This window comes from Homo sapiens, chromosome 3 (genome assembly GCF_000001405.40).
Source record: "Homo sapiens chromosome 3, GRCh38.p14 Primary Assembly".
NCBI classification, from domain to species: Eukaryota; Metazoa; Chordata; class Mammalia; order Primates; family Hominidae; genus Homo; species Homo sapiens.
The window spans coordinates 23,264,881-23,287,172 of NC_000003.12; the positions used below are offsets into that span (position 1 = coordinate 23,264,881).

Sequence of the window (22,292 nt, forward strand, 5' to 3'; positions counted from 1 at the left end):
TGAAGAGAGTCAATTTTTCAGTCCTGTGAAATGCAGCATAGAGATGCCAAGTTAGATATAGACTGAAAAGTGTTCACTACATTTCCAGACAAGTCTTGTGTATTTTAGTAGTAATAGCGTCAGTAGAGTATTGCAGAGTTGTGAGTGCAAGGTGAGAAAGCGGCAAACCTCTCTGTGTAGAAATGTCTTTGTAGAAGCAAATTGCAAAGGGAAGAAGGAAAGGACCAGATGTGGGAGGAGGATTTTTGTTTAAGGAATTGAAGAGGCTTCAGACTGATTATATGCTATGAAGAAGGAACGAATGGAGAAGGAAGAATTGAAGATTAGAAAAGCAGTAATGATTGATGCTGCAAGGTGAGTATGGTTGAACTTGAAGGGGATGGAATTCAGATCATTGAGGGTGGCAAGTGGATCATCTCTACTGAGAAGTTAGGGTGTCTTTCTCACTTCAGTTCCCTCACCCTCCCCACATGGTAGTGTGGTTTAGCTTAGAAAAAGTGACTGAAGTTAGGATGTGAATGAAGCATGCATAACCAGACTGGAGAGGTGACTGGGACCAGCAAGCAGCTGTTCTATCCTGAACTCTAAATAAGGCCTGCTGAAGGGGGACTAGGGGTAAAACATGGAATAAGCTAAAGAACAACAGAGAAACCATGAATTTTAGTGAAAATAAAATGAATCCCCTTTTGCCATATCTCCTCCAGTGCATAGGCTCACTGCCTCAGAGGTTCCTTATCCAAGAATGCATGTGGTTGAGGCCACAGGGAACCATTGGTAAGGATTTCTCTCTCACATAGGAAGCTTGTTTTAGGTGGGCAGTACATTTGAAACCCACTTGGAGGTCTGTCTAATGTTGACAGTGGGGTGTTAAAGTCTCCCATTGTTATTGTGTGGGAGTCTAAGTCTCTTTGTAGGTCTCTAAGGACTTGCTTTATGAATCTGGGTGCTCCTGTGTTGGGTGCATATATATGTAGGATAGTTAGCTCTTCTTGTTGAATTGATCCCTTTACCATTATGTAATGGCCTTCTTTGTCTCTTTTGATCTTTGTTGGTTTAAAGTCTGTTTTATCAGAGACTAGGATTGCAACCCCTGCGTTTTTTTGTTTTCCATTTGCTTGGTAGATCTTCCTCCATCCTTTTATTTTGAGCCTATGTGTGTGTCTGCACGTGAGATGGGTTCCCTGAATACAGCACACTGATGGGTCTTGACTCTGTATCCAATTTGCCAGTCTGTGTCTTTTAATTTGAGCATTTAGTCCATTTACCTTTAAAGTTAATATTGTTATGTGTGAATTTGATCCTGTCATTATGATGTTAGTTGGTTATTTTGCTCATTAGTTGATGCAGTTTCTTCCTAGCCTCGATGGTCTTTACAATTTGGCATGATTTTGCAGTGGCTGGTGCCAGTTGTTCCTTTCCATGTTTAGCGCTTCCTTCAGGAGCTCTTTTAGGGCAGGCCTGGTGGTGACAAAATCTCTCAGCATTTGCTTGTCTGTAAAGGATTTTATTTCTCCTTCACTTATGAAGCTTAGTTTGGCTGGATATGAAATTCTAGGTTGAAAATTCTTTAAGAATGTTGAATATTGGCCCCCCCTCTCTTCTGGCTTGTAGAGTTTCTGCCGAGAGATCAGCTGTTAGTCTGATGGGCTTCCCTTTGTGGGTAACCTGACCTTTCTCTCTGGCTGCCCTTAACATTTTTTCCTTCATTTCAACTTTGCTGAATCTGACAATTATGTGTCTTGGAGTTGCTCTTCTCGAGGAGTATCTTTCAGAAAGTTAAGAAGGATACCCAGGAATTGAACTCAGCTCCACACCAAGCAGACGTAATAGACATCTACAGAACTCTCCACCCCAAATCAACAGAATATACATTCTTTTCAGCAGCACACCACACCTACTCCAAAACTGACCACATAGGTGGAAGTAAAGTTCTCCTCAGCAAATGTAAAAGAACAGAAATTATAACAAACTGTCTCTCAGACCACAGTGCAATCAAACTAGAACTCAGGATTAAGAAACTCACTCAAAACCATGCAACTACATGGAAACTGAACAACCTGCTCCTGAATGACTACTGGGTACATAACGAAATGAAGGCAGAAATAAAGATGTTCTTTGAAACCACTGAGAACAAAGACACAACATACCAGAATCTCTGGGACACATTCAAAGCAGTGTGTAGAGGGAAATTTATAGCACTAAATGCCCACAAGAGAAAGCAGGAAAGATCCAAAATTGACACCCTAACGTCACAATTAAAAGAACTAGAAAAGCAAGAGCAAACACATTCAAAAGCTAGCAGAAGGCAAGAAATAACTAAAATCAGAGCAGAACTGAAGGAAATAGAGACACAAAAAACCCTTCAAAAAATAAATGAATCCAGGAGCTGGTTTTTTGAAAGGATCAACAAAATTGATAGACCGCTAGCAAGACTAATAAAGAAGAAAAGAGAGAAGAATCAAGTAGACGCAATAAAAAATGATAAAGGGGATGTCACCACTGATCCCACAGAAATACAGACTACCATCAGAGAATACTACAAGCACCTCTACAGAAATAAACTAAAAAATCTAGAAGAAATGGATAAATTCCTCGACACATACACCATCCCAAGACTAAACCAGGAAGAAGTTGAATCTCTGAATAGACCAATAACAGACTCTGAAATTGTGGCAATAATCAATAGCTTACCAACCAAAAAGAGTCCAGGACCAGATGGATTCACAGCCGAATTCTACCAGAGGTACAAGGAGGAACTGGTACCATTCCTTCTGAAACTATTCCAATCAATAGAAAAAGAGGGAATCCTCCCTAACTCATTTTATAAGGCCAGCATCATCCTGATACCAAAGCCTGGCAGAGACACAACCAAAAAAGAGAATTTTAGACCAATATCCTTGATGAACATTGATGCAAAAATCCTCAATAAAATACTGGCAAACCGAATCCAGCAGCACATCAAAAAGCTTATCCACCATGATCAAGTGGGCTTCATCCCTGGGATGCAAGGCTGGTTCAATATATGCAAATCAATAAACGTAATCCAGCATATAAACAGAACCAAAGACAAAAACCACATGATTATCTCAACAGATGCAGAAAAGGCCTTTGACAAAATTCAACAACTCTTCATGCTAAAAACTCTCAATAAATTAGGTATTGATGGGACGTATCTCAAAATAATAAGAGCTATCTATGACAAACCCACAGGCAATATCATACTGAATGGGCAAAAACTGGAAGCATTCCCTTTGAGAACTGGCACAAGACAGGTTTTCCCTCTCTCACCACTCCTATTCAACATAGTGTTGGAAGTTCTGGCCAGGGCAATTAGGCAGGAGAAGGAAATAAAGGGTATTCAATTAGGAAAAGAGGAAGTCAAATTGTCCCTGTTTGCAGATGACATGATTGTATATCTAGAAAACCCCATTGTCTCAGCCCAAAATCTCCTTAAGCTGATAAGCAGCTTCAACAAAGTCTCAGGATACAAAATCAATGTACAAAAATCACAAGCATTCTTATACACCAGTAACAGACAAACAGCCAAATCATGAGTGAACTCCCATTCACAATTGCTTCAAAGAGAAAAAAATACCTAGGAATCCAACTTACAAGGGATGTGAAGGACCTCTTCAAGGAGAACCACAAACCACTGCTCAATGAAATAAAAGAGGATACAAAGAAATGGAAGAACATTCCATGCTCATGGGTAGGAAGAATCAATATCGTGAAAATGGCCATACTGCCCAAGGTAATTTATAGATTCAATGCCATCCCCATCAAGCTACCAATGAGTTTCTTCACAGAATTGGAAAAAACTACTTTAAAGTTCATATGGAACCAAAAAAGAGCCCGCATTGCCAAGTCAATCCTAAGCCAAAAGAACGAAGCTGGAGGCATCACGCTACCTGACTTCAAACTATACTACAAGGCTACAGTAACCAAAACAGCATGGTACTGGTACCGAAACAGAGATATAGATCAATGGAACAGAACAGAGCCCTGAGAAATAACGCCACATATCTACAACCATCTGATCTTTGACAAACCTGACAAAAACAAGCAATGGGGAAAGGATTCCCTATTTAATAAATGGTGCTGGGAAAACTGGCTAGCCATATGTAGAAAGCTGAAACTGGATCCCTTCCTTACACCTTATACAAAAATTAATTCAAGATGGATTAGAGACTTAAACGTTAGACCTAAAACCATAAAAACCCTAGAAGAAAACCTAGGCATTACTGTTCAGGACATAGGCATGGGCAAGGACTTCATGTCTAAAACACCAAAAGCATGGCAACAAAAGCCAAAACTGAAAAATGGGATCTAATTAAACTAAAGAACTTCTGCACAGCAAAAGAAACTACCATCAGAGTGAACAGGCAACCTACAAAATGGGAGAAAATTTTCACAACCTACTCATCTGACAAAGGGCTAATATCCAGAATCTACAATGAACTCAAAAAATTTACAAGAGAAAAAACAAACCCGCTTGGAGTTGGCGTGTAGCGTTAAAAGCTAAACTCCAAAGGCTTTTGGGGCTCTATTGCTCTTGGGGACACATTGAAATAAAGAAATGTAGAGGGCACTCAGAGACTGGACTGTGTTAGCTGGGAAGGATCACAGTCTGCCAGGAAATCAGTTCTCACCTTCCAATGGGACAGGATTTGAGGGTGGGAGTTGGGGTAGGAGAAAGGGAGCAGAGAGGAAAAATTTGTAACTGTCATGCAAAAGGCCAGTTAAGAGAATCTCAACTACTCTGGGCACCAAAGAGCAGCTTTTAGTAGATAGTTGAGTTGGAGCCGGGAGCAGCAGCATCAACAACAGCAACAGCTGAAATAGCTTGTGCAGGACATTAGAGCTCTTCATGGGTAGAGTGCAGGAAGGCCATGACAATGGAAGCAGTAATAGAAATCATACAGGGAGGAAAATGATGTGCAGCTTAATATGGTGAGATGCCCAGTAGAAAAAGGGGAAAAATGTTTATTCTGTTTATAAGGGAATAACATGTTTCTCAGCCGTAGCAGCCCCAGGGGCTAAGAATCAAGAAATAGGGATCAAAACAATACCAGGAATTTGAAATTCCTTGAAAATCTTGGTTTAGAGTCCCTTCTGTATAACTGTGCTGACCCCAGAAATGCCTTGTCCTGGTGCAGGCCCCGAGTAGCTCATCCATTTCCTGTCTGGCTACCACCCCAGCAGCAATGAGCTAGGCAGGTCCCTGCCTCTGGGTCCTTGACTGTGGTCAAGACTCTTTCCACCCCCCTCCTCCTTTTTTTTTTTTTTTTTTTTTGCCTCTCCAGTGGATGAATTTGCTCCTTTTGTGTAGTGGGCTCTCCCTGTCACAAGATGTCCCTCATCTAAGGTGAGGGTCAGGAATCCTTATTTCCTGATGCTACTCCTAGTCTACTGTTCTGTGGTAGAATTGCCTTTGGGTGCCATGCATGTGCTGCGATGGTGTATTTTGTGCACAAAGGGCTTGGCTGATCTTGTCTTTTGCCGTTCCTGCACTCTTTTGTATGAGAGCCCCACGGGCCTGGGTTATTCTGTACCTCAGGTAGGAACCTGGAACCAAGGCTTGGAGTTAGGGGAAACACTCGTTCTGGCTCACAGATAAACCCTGGGGCCCTGCAGGGCTCGTTCTGTTCTCCTTCTCCCCAAGTGGTTCTGGTATTCTGGCCCTGAGGAAGTATAGAGTACATACAGAGAAGCAGACAGGGTAGGTTCTGATACAGGTACCAACTGAGTGTTTCGGTCTCTGAAGCTTTCAGTCTTTTAACTTGCCAAAAAAGAAGGAAATGGTTTGACTGAATGGGTTATTACTGGCATCTGATATTTCTAGCTTCCTGTGTGAGAAAGTGCTCTGTCAGGTCTGATTTGTGTGGATTTTTGTTACTAGTTACAATGTTTAACAGTTTCAGGAATTCATTTAACACACTCTCTTAGGTGTGCAATTGTTTTTCTCAGGGAAATCTAGTGTTTAATTACAAGTCTCAGATTAAGAACGATAATTGTCTAACATTTATGAAATCCTGCTGACAACTAAGTTTATACTCCATTTGTTAACAGGCTGTTCCTGATTCGATCTGCTTGCATCTCTTCTAACTTGTGAGTGACTTGGAAGGAGCAGACTTCATCTTACTTCTATTCATTTCTCAATTAACTATGACTAACATACACTAGGCACCCAAAAAGTTAAGATGATAGCAGTAATGAAGAGAAATGGACCTTGAGTTTCAGAAACTTGTATTCTAATGGACCTTCAAAAGATGGCAAGTATTGTGTCTGGAATTGGTGGGTTCTTGGTCTCGCTGACTTCAAGAATGAAGCCACGGACCCTCGCGGTGAGTGTTACAGTTCTTAAAGATGGTGTGTCTAGAGTTTGTTCCTTCAGATGTTCAGATGTTTCTGGAGTTTCTTCCTTCTGGTGGGTTTGTGGTCTTGCTGGCTTCAGGAGTGAAGCTACAGACCTTCACGGTGAGTGTTGCAGCTCATAAAGGTGGCGCGGACCCAAAGAATGAGCAGCAGCAAGATTTATTGCAAAGAGCCAAAGAACAAAGCTTCCACAGCGTGGTAAGGGGACCCGAGTGGGTTGCTGCCGCTGGCTCGGGCAGCCTGCTTTTATTCCCTTATCTGACCCCACCCACAGCCTACTGATTGGCCCATTTTATGGAGAGCTGATTGGTCCATTTTACAGAGAGCTGATTGGTCCATTTTGACAGGGTGTTGATTGGTGCGTTTACAATCCCTGAGCTAGACACAGAGTGCTGATTGGTGTATTTACAATCCTCTAGCTAGATGTAAAAGTTCTCCAAGTCCTCACTAGATTAACTAGACACAGAGCACTGATTGGTGTGTTTACAAACCTTGAGATAGACACAGGGTGCTAATTGGTGTATTTACAATCCTTTAGCTAGACATAAAGGTTCTCCAAGCCCCCACCAGATTAGCTAGATACAGAGTGCTCATTGGTGCATCCACGAACCCTGAGCTAGACACAGAGTGCTGATTGGTGCATATACAGTCCTCCAGCTAGACATAAAAGTTCTCCAAGTCGTCACCTGACTCAGGAGCCCAGCTGGCTTCGCCTAGTGGATCCCGCGCCAGGGCCGTGGGTGGAGCTGCCCACCAGTCCCGCACGGCGCCTGCACTTCTCAGCCCTTGGGCAGTCAATGGGACTGGGTGCCGTGGAGCAGGGGGTGATGCCTGTTGGGGAGGCTCGGTCCATGCTGGAGCCCACCGCCAGGGGGCTCGGCCATGGCGGGCTGCAGGTCCCGAGCCCTGCCCCGCGGGGAGGTGGCTGAGGCCTGGCGAGAGTTCGAGTGTGGCACGGGCAGTCTGGCACTGCTGGGGGATCCGGCGCTCCCTGGCCTGGGTGCTAAGTCCCTCACTGCCCGGGGCCGGCCGGCTTCTCTGAGTGTGGGGCCTGCCAAGCCCACGCCCACCCAGAACTTTCACTGGCCCAAGAGCAACGCACGCAGCCCGGGTTCCCACCCGTGCCTCTCCTTCCACACCTCCCCGCAAGCAGAGGGGGCTGGCTCCATACTTGGCCAGCCCAGAGAGGGGCTCCCACAGTGCAGCAGCGGACTGATGGGCTCCTCAAGGGTGGCCAGAGCAGACGCCAAGGCCGAGGAGGCGCTGAGAGCGAGCGAGGGCCGCCAGCACGTTGTCACCTCTCAGTATGAGTGTGTTGTAGTGTATGTGTGAAAGGGAGTTTTGCAATGGGAGTATGGGATGATGTGTTAGTCATAGTTCTACAGAGAAATAGACTATCTATCTATCTATATCTCAGAGAGAGAGAGAGAGAGAGATTGAGTGTAAGGAATTGGCTCATGCAATTATGGAGACCAAGTGCCAAGATATGGAGACGGCAAGCTGGAGACTCAGGAGAGCTGTGGCGTAGTAGTTTCTGTCCAAGTCCAGAGGCCTGAGAACCAGGAGAGCCAGTAGTATAAGTTCTAGTCTGAAAGCTGGCAGGCCCAAGACCAAGAAGAGCCCAAGTTTCAGTTTGAGTCCCGAAGCAGGAAAAGACTGATATTCCATTTCAAGCAGTCAGACAAGTCTTATGGCAGGGTCAGCCTTTTAGTTCTCTTCAGGCCATCAACTGATTGGATAAGGGCGACTCACATTAGGGAGGGCAATTTGCTTCCAATTCAGCTGTTTATCTCATCAAAAAACACCCTCACAGACACACTTGGAATAATGTTTGACCAAATGTCTGGACACTTTGTGCCCCAGTCAAGTTGACACATAAAATTAATCATCACAGATGGTTTACACTTCTAAAACAATTTTATATAGTAAGAAGCAATATAGTAAATTCTCACAAAAGTTGTTGATAGTTTCTTTGAAACTGCAACTTTAAGAGAAATGATGGGGCCGGGCGCAGTGGCTCACGCCTGTAATCCCAGCACTTTGGGAGGCCGAGGTGGGCGGATCACGAGGTCAGGAGATCGAGACCATGGTGAAACCCCGTCTCTACTAAAAATACAAAAAAAAAATTAGCCGGGCGTGATGGCGGACGCCTGTAGTCCCAGCTACTTGGGAGGCTGAGGCAGGAGAATGGTGTGAACCCAGGAGGTGGAGCTTGCAGTGAGCCGAGATTGCGCCACTGCACTCCAGCCTGGGCGACAGAGCGAGACTCCGTCTCAAAAAAAAAAAAAAGAGAGAGAAATGATGTACAGCAGGTCCTTGAATGACATTGTTATAACACTGATGAGAAAAAAAAATTGGTTTCATTATATATGGTTTTGCTTAAAGTCATAGTTTCCAGGAACCTATCAGTGACATTATTGTATACTTTTAAAGCATCATGAAATAACTGAATAAGAACTTGTAAATTGCTGAATTATGAATCATTCTCCTGGTTTCCAGTATTATTTTTATTAGAAGTTGACATGGTACATGCTGGTTAAAATATGACCCAGGCTGGTTCAAGTGCAGTGTGGTGTTTACAACCAACTGATCACAGCCAGTTACAGATTTCTTTGTTCCTTTTCTACTCCCACTGCTTCACTTGACTAGCCATATATGTATGCGTGTATGTATATATGTAATAAAGTGTGATCCAGATGTTAACAAACTTGATTCTTCTTACTGACTGAATCATTATTGTTCAGAAACCCTTTGATACAATGGGAAAAAAAATGCTGTTGATATAAGAAGGGAGTCAAATATTACAGGACTGGACTGTTGATTAAAAAATTATTTTTAAAGCACAGTAGCTATGAATTACTGTGCTGTTGTATTTGTCTCTATATGTGTTGCTGATTTCTGATCTTGGATCATGTTTAAAACCAGTGGCAGTCTGTAAATACCAACAATTATTATCTTTTGATACCCTTTTAAGTTATGAAACTCATATTGTTGAAGAAATACCTGGATTCATTAAGAAAATGATTTTTTTCCCTCTTTCTTTCCCCTCTTCTTCTTCTCTCTTCCTTTCCCGACCCCCTTCCTTTCCTGGAAGGTCTTTCTGTTATATGAACAGAGTGACGAGTCCCTCTCTGTTGCCCACTGTGTTGCGGCAGGCTGCAGTGCAGTGGCAAGGTCACGGTTCACTGCATCCTAGCTCAGCAGATCCTCCTATCTCCGTCTCCCAAGTACCTGGGACTGTAGGCGCGCACCACCATGCCTGGCTAATTTTTTTTTTTGTATTTTTTATAGAGATGGAGTTTCTCCATGTTGCCCAGGCTGGTCTTGAACTCCTGGGCTAAAGTGATCTTCCTGCCTCAGAGGCACCTCCCAAAGTGCTGGGATTACAGGTATGAGCCATCGCGCCCAGCCTAAGAAACTGATTTTCAGTGACTGTATTCCTTCATATGTGTGTTCCACAATTTAATCCTAGAATTCTTTGGTTTTTAAAATAATGATACACTGGATATTATTTGTAAATATTCTGAGTAGCTCTTATTATTTCTTTACAGCAAATGCTGTGTAGGTAATAAATGGAGTGATGTCAAATAGTATCCCTTTTTTTTGAAGAGTTTTGATAAATATTGCCTAATTGCCCTTATTTATTCACTCATATAAAATCAATAATAATTACAGCTAACTTGTTTAGAGTGCTGGTCAGGACCTGAGCTGTATGTGGACTGTTCAATGTAATCCTCAAAATAACTTTTTGAGGAAGTTGTTATCAATGTCCTTATCAGGAAATATCTGAGTGCCTACTGTGTGTAAAGCGTTGTGTTAGGCAGGGGGACTGCAGTAATGAGCAACCAACCATTGTTGATGCCCACATTCTAGAGGATGTGCTTAACAATTACTGTCAGTTAATTTAATTGCGTTGTGGGAAAGGCTGTGAAAGAGAAATTTGGGCTGCTTTGAAAGTATATCACACAGGGTGAGAGAAGCGGTGCTAAGAGAGAAATTATCTTTGTATAAACATCTCGGTAGCCTAGGTGGAGTAGCCAAGGTAAAAGGACGTGTTTTAGGCAGAGGCGGCAGCATGTGTGAAGGCACTGAGGTGCTAAACGGTGGACATGTCCCGGAAGCTGAAATAGACCAATTGTGCCTGGAATACTGAGGTGTTACAGTAGATTGACTCAAGATAAGGCTGGGCCTAGATCAAATCCTGCATTGTGTTTCTGGCCACCTGAAGGATTTAGTCCTTCCTAAGAGCAATGGGAAGCCTTTGAAGTGTTTTTAGGGAGGACCCGTAAGATGATTTATATTTTAAAAAGAATGACTTACCTGCTTTGTGGACAGTGGGTTTGTAAAGTATGAAATTTTCTATTGCTCTATAGTTTCAGCAGTCTTATTCTCAGTTTTATAGGTAGAGGTGCTTAAAATTTTTAATTAAAAAGAAACAAAACTTAAAAAGAAATCCATGATCATAGGCTGGGAGGGAGAGTTGAAAGAGGTGGCTTGGGAGGAGAAGGAAAGAATGATTAGAAACTTAGAAGTCAGAGAACACCCAACTTTTTTTTTTGTCACAGTGTTTGGAAAACTTAAGTTTGTATTTGAAATAGAATATATGTTGCCCAGCAGATCCCGATTCATTAAAAATTTGAATTTGAGCTTCTCTCTATCATGATAATGCTTGCCTCCATGTCATCTGATTTCCAGAGACTACGTATCTGAGAGGATGTCACTTAAGGGCTTTAACTGAATGATACCAGGGGCTTTGCAGATTGATAAGGCATGGTGTGGGGAAGAAAAGTAGAGACAAGCCTATTTAAAAAAAATTTCTATGTCTTTTTATCTGGCTTGTGATGCCAGTGAAAGTAAGGTGGCTATCTGGCATGTACACAGATTGGTTGTTGGAGAGCCTTCATGATTTTCCATTATTCATTTCCTTCAGACAGCTCCTTTAGTAACTTAGGTACATCCTACCTTCCCCCACCAAGACACAATCAGTAAACTGATTAGAATTATAGTTTTATGGAAAAAATACACTTCATTTATTCTAATTTTTGATTTTAAATTTTAGTTTTAAGAAACAAACCTTTTAAAGTTGAATACTAGAAAACTAAAATTGTGCTGCTCTTAAGTTAAACATTTTTGACTGAAAAATTCTAATATATAAACTAAGGAGGGGTTAATTTACGTTAGCATAGAACTCCCTTTCATTTACCTTCTTTGAATCCTTCCATGTCTTCAGAAGGGAAAAAAGCTAGAAAGTTTGTAAAATATTAATATGCTTTATAATGCTTTCTACCTGCTAAAATGTATGAATCTTAGAGTGAGATCCTGATGCAGACTTGTGTGTTCAAAGGATCATGCTATTTTTTCCTTTGTACTTAGAATTAAGCTTGAGTGCAGCAAATGTATAAAATCACAAGTAGAGTGTGGGTTGTGTTTTGAAGTCTTTAATAATTATTTTCTATTTTATAAAAAATAAAATAGAAAGTTATTCAAGATATTTCAGGATACTATTTTATATTGTGAGCATTTGTACTTTTTGTGAAATTTTATTTTTCTAATGTTGATTGTGATTTGAGACTATTATATAAACAAAGATTGACAAAGACAAAGTTGCAATTTTTCATAGTATTAATATTTTAGCAGAATAATTTTTGTACTTGCTTAAGGAAGAGGAAAAACTTTTTTTATTTTTCTCTCATTCTTTAAAAACAAAAACAAAAAAATGTGAGCTAATGTAAGCAGTTTCAGTTTTCTAGGAAAACAAAGGCTTTCGTGTACATGCTTCTGATAGTAGACGGTGTGACCATATCATGTATGCGTTCTTAATAATGTCTGACATTATCAGATTGATTAACTCAGCATAGAACCTAATCAGATTTAACTATGGTTGGCAGCTGTACACTAGAAGAATAGTAATATAGTGGGAGAATAAAATCAGTTTTTTAAGAAGCTGCATTAAATACAAAACTAAAAAAAATTAAAAGTGTTCATTATCTCACAGTGACATATAAAGCTATTGTGTTCACACAGTGGCTTTCTTAAATCCATGCTGACTTATATTTTCAAAGATCGGCTACTGCCAGATGCTAGACATGCTGATAATAAGATTTTCATTTGATAATTTGATGGTGTAGGTTTCAGGCAGTTATGATTTCCTGCAGGCTTCAAGGGTCAACGTTTGTATCTACATACTGTGTTTACTGTGTAAACCTCATAGACTATCTAACTCTAAGAACTAGAGCCAAAACCACTGCTTACTTTTTCTGGGATCAACGTAAGTATTTCTCTAAGAAATAGGTCATTGCAAAGTAATCATTTCTCCTTTGTTTTTTAAAAAACGTAATCATGAAAAGTTAATAAATGATAAGAAAGAGTCCTAAATTAGGGGGCTATAAATTAATTTTAATTCTTCCATTAACTGTAACCTGGGCCTTAGGATTTAATTAGATTCAGTCACTAAATGTTTAGTGAATGCTTACTATGTGAAGGCTGTTCTGGGCTCTAAGGCTATGTTAGTGACCCAAACAGTAAAGATATTGGTGCCATTCAAAGCACTTTTTTGATGTGCTGAGAATCCCTATTGAGGATAACAGTCAATAGTTAATTACATAAGCTTTGAGGACTGATTTCTAGACTAGTGAGAAATAGCCATGACAAAAACAGTCTCACTTGCGTAAATTATTTGCACAATATTTTTCTCTTCTTGGGCGTGATACCCATTTTAGTCAGTGTTCTAAAGCTATTAAACTAATAAAACTCAAGTGAATAGTCAAATATCCAGTCGGCTTTTATGATTTGGGATTAAAGTAACAAAAATAGCTGATAAATGAGTGGAAAAGGTATGCAAATAGAATGGATCAATTGTTACCTTCTGGGAAAAGAGAATAACTGCTTTTCAGAGAGCAATTTTCTAAATCAACACTCATCAAAGTATACTTAGATCCCTTGCATATTAACACATAATTAAGTTATGTATGTATGAAAAACAGTATTTATTAAGTTTTTCCTATTACTTAAGATTTCTAATTTAATTAAGTACACCGTCATCTCTGACTAGTTTACTTAATCCAGAAAATTAAGAAATATATTTAATTCAGGAAAAAGGAACAATTGCTGCCATTTTATGGTATATTAACCCCAACAGGTCTTCATTGTAAGACAATATAATTTCTGAAGGTTTGGTAAGTGCTTGAAGTTTTGAAATTAGATAACTTTCTTTAAACTCTAGTCTTGCATAAGAGTAAAAATATTACAGATTCCAGAAGAGTTACTTTGAGGAGTTTTAAATGCCAGCAAGGAGGTGCTTATAATAAACATATCTATTTAACTATCATTGTAGCTTTATTTTAATGTATAATATATCTGGGATATGTTGTGGGTCCACAGAAGTATTTGTTGAATTGAATTAAATGTATGCTTCCTAAATGTACCTTTCAAAACGTATTGAGCAATCATGTAACTACATTAAATTATAAACTAATAAAATGATCAGTATTAATGAAATTTGAAACCAATTTAGAATAATAAAAAGAATTGATTCATGGTAGAATTCAGCAATACATTTTGCATAAGCACATTATGAAAACCTAAGTTTCCAAACCTCGGCAGTAAAAAACCAGTCATAGCAAATTATTAGATGTGATTTATGACTTATTGATAGCATTAGGATAGCAGTCACATGTTCATTTTCCAGTTTTTTTTAATAATTTGATAATTTTAAAAGGATACTAAATTATCCCTTCTTTACTGTTCTTAGAATTTATGTTCATTTTACTGATGAGGTCTTGAGTCATCGTGTAATGTTTTAAAGGTAAAAAGTTGGGTAGAATAATCTTACCATGTAACTTATTTTTTGTTGTTGTAATAAACATGGTTTTAAAACAGTTGTCACTGTTTATAATTGTATCATTCATTAATTTTCAGGTAATAAATGGACAGATTTGGCTTAGTAGTTGAGGCGTGATTTCAGGGACTGCTTACCCTGCTTTCTTCAGTATGTTAAAAAATGAATGTGAGATCTACCGGAGGAAGGAGAAAGGAAAAAAACCTTTATTTTCCAAGTTAGCAATCTGCAGTTTTGGGAAACCTAGCTTCTGGGGAAACTGAAAGCACACGCTTGGCTGAAGGGAGGGAAATAGCAGCATTTAAGCCTTCCAGGGTCTGTCTTACATATTCATCAGATTTGGGGAATGTCTGTGAATGTTTACAGGGAAAGTCAAATGCATGTCCAGATATAACATTAATATAACATACATTCTATATTCACTTTGGGGTGGGGTTTTAACATTAAAATGAGGAGGAATTTGGTTCTTTGCATCAAAAGGTGAACTATAAGGGACAAAGATGTTTTATGTGCCATCTCTGTAAGCCAGTTGGAACCAGCTTAGGGTCTATAGCTGCTTATCAGGAGAGAATATTTGTAAAGCTGGTGTTTTCTCTAATCAGTGCTGTTGGCTGGACCCCCAAGGTGGGGGTGTTCTTGTTAGCTAGTGTCATGTGGTCTACCAGAGTCAGTTGGATAATGTTTTCCTAGAATGAGCTTCTGCTTAACTGCAGGAAGAAAACCTTATGGCAATGAACAAACCTTATAGTAGTTAACAGTGTAGGCATACATGACCAAACTCTTTTCCCTGCTCTGGCCACTTAATTTTCTCTGAGGGTCTCATCTTAGCCACAGAGCCCATCTTGTCTGTCATCTAGGGGTACATTGTTGACAGTTACCTTTGTTACCATTCACCAATGCTTAAGATCAATTAATAGTAGACATTGTCTCTCATTCACCTATTAGGCCATACATTCAAATAAGCATGGGAGAGAAAACACATTTGACTTATTACCACGGTAAGGTTCAAATTACTGATATCACATTCTTTTTTGAGGAAGCTTTTATAGAGAAGAAACACTGTGGGTTAGGATGGGAGTTGTAGCAAAGGTAGGCTGTGGGTACCAAAGATAACTAACCTATAATAACCTATTTTGGGGAAGTGTTTTTATTAACCCTTTTATTTGTGACTCTTTTTTGGTATTCAGAATTGCACCCCTTAGTGTAATTTTTAGTGGTGAGAGTCTTAAGAGTACTAGTATTCTTTGGGAAACAAATGTTGCACATATGGCATCATCTTTCTTCCTCCTACAGAGAAGTGTTGACATGGATCAGGATCACACTGGTGCCACTTTAACTGGAAAGTTTTGAGGGATTGTGAATGGTGCTAGAGGTGGCCACACAATCTTTTTGGTCCTTCTTTGTTCACATTTTGCCTTCTTTTTTCCCATCCGTGGCTGGCAGTTGACAGTGTTGAGGTTGTCCTTTACTTGGGAAGCCTGTTGACCCAACAGCAACCCTGATGACCCAGTTGTCTTACTCACTCAGAAATGGTGCCTTCTTTTGGTGGCATTTGCCATAATTGTCCTAATAACTGTGCTTGTCACAAAACCCAATGCTTGGGCTCAGTAAATATTTATTGACTAAAGGAATGAGTACTGGAGACTAGCCTCTATGTTTCTTACTCACTTCTGTTTTTACTGATTCTGCTTTTTTCCATGAATGTTGCCTTCTCTCGTGTTTCACATTCAGAATTTTCTTAGAGAATATCTTAGTTTGGGCTGCTGTAACAGAATAAGTCTGGGTGGCTTAAACAGCATTTATTTCTCACAACTCAGGAGATTGGGAAGTCCAAGATCAAAGTGCTGGCAGACCTGGTGTCTGGTGAGAGCACTGTTCCTAGTTTGCAGACAGTCTTCTCATTGTATCCTCACTTGCTGGAGAAAGAAAGACCTTGTGTCTCTTCTTTTATAATAGCACTAATCCCATCGTCAGGGACCCACCCTCATGACCTAATATAACCTCAGTTACTTCCAAATGGCCTCACCTCCAAATTCTGTAACACTGGGGACTTGAGTTGCAATATATGAATTTTAGGGAGACAAATATTCAGTCAATAGCAGAGGTAACACTTACGTTAGTGAGGAAGAATTTTTAAAGATTTCATGTTTGTTTTAGATATAACTACTTAAAATACATGGGAATGTTTCTGTAATATAAAAAAATGCCATTGTAGTTCCATATTCATAAAGTGAAACACTTTATAAAGAAATAACGTGGCTGGGCACTGTGGCTTATGCCTGTAATACCAGCATTTTGAGAGGCTGAGACGAAGGATTGCTTGAAGCCAGAAGTTTGAGACCAGCCTGGGCAGCAAAGCAAGAACTTGTCTCTACAAAAAATAAAATAAAATAAATTAGTTGGGCCCAGTGGCATGTGCCTGTAGTCCCAACTATTCTGAGAGGCTGAGGTGGGAGGATTGCCTGAGCCCAGGAGTTGTAGGCTGCAGTGAGCTGTGATGGCACCACTGCATTCCAGCCTGGGTGACATAGCAAGATCCTGTCTGTTTAAAAAAGAAGGAGAAGGAGGAGAAACATGTTTTTCTTAAACTTTCTTTAATTTGGTTTTATGTTAATGTTAAGAATAAATAACCAGTAAATAATCTTGTAAATAGAAAATACTATTTCTGAGAATTTCATTCGCAGTAATATTAGAAATCTATTACATCTCTTAGAAATATGATATACAAAATAGTTTGAATTATTGTTATTGAAGAGGATGTATGCCAGATTTTCAAGAGTAGGTTTATTGTTTGTTTATGAAATAAAACATCAACTGCCATTTATTAAATACTTTCTTTGTGCCACAAAGAGTTTTGAATGCAATTTCAGTCTAGTCCTCAAAATCATCCTAAAAGATTGGAGGATTATGTAAATTTTGCAAATGAAACTTGGCTTTTGAAATTTGGTCACTTACTCTCAAAGCTTTATAACCAGCAAGGGGCAAGGGCTGAGACTTGAACTCATCTCCGTCTTATTCCAAAGCCCAGCCCTTTCGTCTCTTCTGTATTAAATTCCCATTCCTACATATGGATGGCCACATTGCAGTGAATACAGTTGGAAAATAATATCAGTATTGGAGCCTCTGGGAAATTTTGTTTTGCTACATTGCATTTATGAGCTTTCATCCAGGTCCTTCTGTATTCCCTGTATAGTTGGCGCTGGATGAATGTTTATTATTAATATAATGAATACATATAGCCATTCCTTTAATGACACAGTCTTACCTGCTAATAAAATTGTGTATCAGTTTCTATCTTATTATGCATGATTTTCCTTGCTCTTCTCTCAGCAGATTATGATTTTTAATAAAAGCAAAGCACACACACAAAATTCTTGTGTCGGTAGCTGATAAATTTAATAGGACCTTTTAGGAGACAAATACTCCAGCAAGTTTGTATTCACTTTATCTGAGTTGAAAATAAAATTGCTTTGTATGCTTTAGAGTAATACTACATTTGATTGTCCTGTGCCTTGTATTCTGCAGTTTGACATTTAGAGCTTTTCGTCTTTCAGGATACAAATTCTATTTTGATATGCCAACAAAATGATTTAAAAACTAAATTGAAGTTTAAAAAAATACTGTCAGTATATTGTCAAAACCGGAGAATATGAAGTAAACTTGGTTCAACTTTTTATACTAGATACACGTTACACAGAACATGTAACATTCTTTTGTAGAAGCCAGAGCAAAAATACCCACAGTGAATTAATTTGGTAATGAACTAGGTTAATTTGTAGAGAAAAGGCTTAGGTCAGGGTGAGATTTGGAGGTATAGGATATCATAGTAACATAAACCTATCAAAACATGCAGAACATGGAGAGCACTAAAATTCATTAAAAAAATCAGATTGAGTGATAATATAATGATAACTTTAGGAAATTGATAGAAACTAAACTTGAGCCCCAGTGACTCCAGAGATAGTCTTTAAACTGTTCAGGACAGCTAGAACAGGTTGGTTTTCTGATTAAAATTCTTATCTAAGGAGAAGTTGATAAATGCTACCTTCCTGCACTTGCTCCTGTAAGTTCAGGTTAGTAGGTGATGTCCCAAAGTGCCCTGAAGGCAACCAGTAAAAAACTTTTTTTTTTTCATGTAGAAAATTTGGAACTTGGTGACTCTACAGATGAAATTCAGGCTCTGAAAAGTGCTCACTTGCTCTCAAAATTTATAATGAGCAAGGAGGGAAGACTTGAAGCGTGAACCCACTTACATATTACTCTAAAACTCATGCTATTTCCTCTGTATTGTGTGAGATCAAAACAAATGCCATATCATACACGTATGCAAGCTTTCAGAAATTTAGGTCGGTGGTTCTCTGACCAAGCACAGTGGTTCACGCCTGTAATCCCAGCACTTTGGGAGGCCGAGGTGGGATCGCTTGAGCTCAGGAGTTCGAGCCTGAGCAACGTAGTGAGGCCCTATCTCTACAGAAAATTTTAAAATTAGCTGGGCATGGTGGCACACACTTATAGTCTCAGCAGATGTGTGCCACCACACTCAGCGAATAATTTTGTATTAGCTGGTGGAGGATCGCTTGAGCCCGGGAAATCAAGGATGCAGTGAGCCATGATCACAGCACTGCAATCCAGCCTGGGTGACAGAGCAAGACCCTGTCTCAAAACAAAACAAAACAAAGCCTTCTCAAAAGTGTGCTCTCCAGAGGTCACGTGGGAGGTTGTTACAAATGCAGATTACCAGGCTCCATTTCACACCCACTGACAAAGAAACTTCGGGGTGGGGCCAACAGTGTTTAAAAGGCCCTGTCCTTGATTCTGATATGTGCACAAGTTTGAGAACCACTGCTTTAGATACTTTTGCAGTTTGAAAAAGAATATGGATAAGAGGGCCTCTGAACAATGTAGTTGTTTTCCTACATAGAGCAATTTGGCCATGTTAGGAATAAACCCATTTTGTGAGTAATTAATTATAGCTTAGGTGCAGTCTAACTTAATATTTTTACTTCAATTCCAATCTCCTTTAGGGATTTTTTTTTAACTACTAAATTTGGTCAAAATTTGACTTGTCTCCCTATAATCTATAATATTTCTATTCTAGATTAGCCATGTTGAGGGAAATAAAATTTGGGTAAATATTGCATAATATTTATATTATTGAAGAGACAATTTTTTACCTTAAAGAGAAGGCACAGTATTTAATTTTAATAAATTATATGTGATTTTTAAAAATGTAAAGACTCTTTTTGGCCTTATTTGAGCTCATAAAATATTTGGACAGTTATCATGAGAGTTTGCTAAAATAACGTAAGGTGATCTTATTCTTTCCCATTGTTTTGACTAATTGTTGGTAAAGAATCTTTCTTTGGGGAGCACTCCCCAAGGCAACTTGGAAGTGTGTCCTGGGCCGCAGTTATCATTATTATTATGATTATTATTTTTTAAAAAAGAATCTTTGAAATGACTGGTTACTTGATGGTATTAAAGAATTAATATCATACATGTCTGTGTGAGGTGGGGGATGATACCTTGGGGATGTTTAATGGGGGAGTATTTGTCTTTTAAAGAAGATTCTCATTTCATTCATAAATTTTGTTTTGGTGGGTACATAGTAGGTGGTGATTATATATATATATTTAGGAATACAATGTATAAGATATAGGTACACAATGTATAATAATCACATCAGAGTAAATGTGGTATCCATCACTTGAAGCATTTATCCTTTGTGTTTCAAGTAATCCAGTTGTACTCCCTGAGGTCTGTTCTAAATTTATAATTATTACTGACTGTAGCCACCCTGTTGTTCTATCAAATACTAGATCTTATTCATTTTTTTTTCATTTTTCTATAGCTTCTTGTTGGAAAAAAAAATATATATATATATATTTATATATTTACCTGTTAACCATCTCCACTCCCCCCACCCCATGCCTCCCACTACTCTCCCTAGCTTCTGGTAACCATCTTTCTACGCTCTGCCTCTATGAACTCAATTGTTTAATTTTTAGCTCCTACAAATAAGTGAGAACAGACAAAAGTTTGTCTTTCTTTGCCTCATTTATTTCACTTAACATAATGACTTTGAGTTCCATCCATGTTGTTGCAAATGACTGGATCCCATTCTTCTTTTATGGCTGAATAGTATTCCGTTGTGTATGTGTCCATTTTCTTTATCCACTTGTCTATTGATGAACAGTTAGGTTGCTTCCAAATCTTTGCTATCGTGAATAGTGCTGCAATAAACGTGGGAATGCAGATATCTCTTTGATAAATTGATTCCTTTCTTTTGGGTATACTTAGCAGTGGGATTGCTGGATCATATGGTAGCCCAATTTTTAATTTTTTGAGCAACCTCCAAACTGTTCTCTGTAGTGGTTGTACTAATTTATGTTCCCACCAACAGTGTACAAGGATTTTCTTTTCTCAGCATCCTCCTCAGCATTTGTTATTGCCTGTCTTTGGATAAAAGTCATTTTAACTGGGGTGAGATGATACTTTATTGTCGTTTTGATTTGAATTTTGCTGATATTCAGTGATGTTGAGCACTCTTTCATATGGCTGTTTGCCATTTGTATGTCTTCTTTTGAGAGACATCTATTCAGATCTTTTATCCCCCACCCTGCTTTTCTTTTTGAGACATAGCTTTGTCATCCAGGCAGGTGTGCAGTGGCTCTCACTGCAACCTCTGCCTTTTGGGTTCAAGCGATTCTGTTTCTCAGCCACTCGAATAGCTAGGAGGATTACAGGCACCCACCACCACATCTAGCTAATTTATGTTATTTTTTAGTCAAGAGGGGTTTCACCATGTAGGCCCAGCTGGTCTCAAATTCTTGACTTCAAGTGATCTGCCCACCTCGGCCTCCCAAAGTGCTGGGATTACAGAAATGAGCCACTGTGGATGGCCCTTTTGCCCATTTTAAAATTAGATGATTAAGCTTTTTTTTATTTATAGAATTGTTTTAGTTCCTTATATATTCTGGTAATCCCTTGTAGAGTGGATAGTTTGCAGATGTAATCTCCCATTCTGTGGGTTGTCTCTTCATTTGTTGACTGTTTCCTTTTTGGTGTAGAAGCTTTATAATTTGATGTGATTCCATTTGCCCATTTTTGCTTTAGTTTCTTATGCTTTCTGGGTATTACTCAGGAAATCTTTGCTCAGTCCAGTGTCCTGGAGAGTTTCACCAATGTTTTATTTTTCATGGTATAATAGTTTCATTTTGATTTGAGTTTTGTATATGGTGAGAGATAGGGGTCTAGTTTCAGTCTTCTGCATATGGACATCCAGTTTTCCTAGAACCATTTATTGAAGAGACTGTCCTTTCTTCAGTGTATGTTCTTGGCACCTTTGTCAAAAATGAGTTCACTGTAGATGTACAATTTGTTTCTGGATTCTCTATTTTGTTTCATTGGTCTGTGTGTCTGTTTTTTATACCAGTTCAATGGTGTTTTGGTTACCAGAGCTCTGTAGTATAATTTGAAGTCAGGTAATATGATTTATTCAGTTTTGTTGCTTTTGCTTAGAATAGCTTTGGCTATTCGGGGTCTTTTGTGGTTCCATACACATTTTAGGATTACTTTTTCTGTTTCTGTGGAGAATGTCGTTGGTATTTTGATAGAGAATGCATTTAATCTGTAGATTGCCTTCAGTAGTATGGACGTTTTAACAGTATTGATTCTTCCAATCAATACTGTTTTTTTGGTGTGTATGTGTCCTTTTCAGTTTATTTCACCAGTGTTTTGTAGTTTTTATTGTAGAGAGCTTTCACTTCTTAGATTAAGCTAATTTGTAGGTATTTAATTTTATCTGTTGCTATTGTAAATAGAATTACACTTTTAATTTCTTTTTCAGATTGTTTGCTGTTGGCATATGGAGATGCTTTTATAGTGGTGAAAGTGGGTATCCTTTTTATGTTCCAGATCTTAGAGGAAAGTCTTTCAGTTTTTCCCCATTCAGTATGATACTAACTGTGGGTCTGTCATATATAGCTTTTATTATGTTGAGGTGTATTCCTTCTGTACTCAGTTTTTTGATGGTTTTTATCATGAAGGGATGTTGAATTTTATCAAATGCTTTTTCAGC

At 39.0% G+C, this 22,292-nt stretch overlaps 1 protein-coding gene across 7 annotated transcripts in view, besides 1 other annotated feature; it reads left to right on the forward strand.

Annotated features, from left to right (window-relative positions):
- The window catches only part of UBE2E2 (ubiquitin conjugating enzyme E2 E2), a 388,828-nt gene that overhangs the window by 61,783 nt on the left and 304,753 nt on the right, over nt 1-22,292 (forward strand). The gene's annotated exons all lie outside the window — the stretch shown is intronic.
- Nucleotides 5,656-5,855: an enhancer, noted in NCBI's record as "active region_19593". NCBI's record gives its function as "activates an Ori minimal core promoter by ATAC-STARR-seq in GM12878 lymphoblastoid cells {active_cell/tissue: GM12878}" and the evidence as "EXISTENCE:reporter gene assay evidence [ECO:0000049][PMID:35858748]".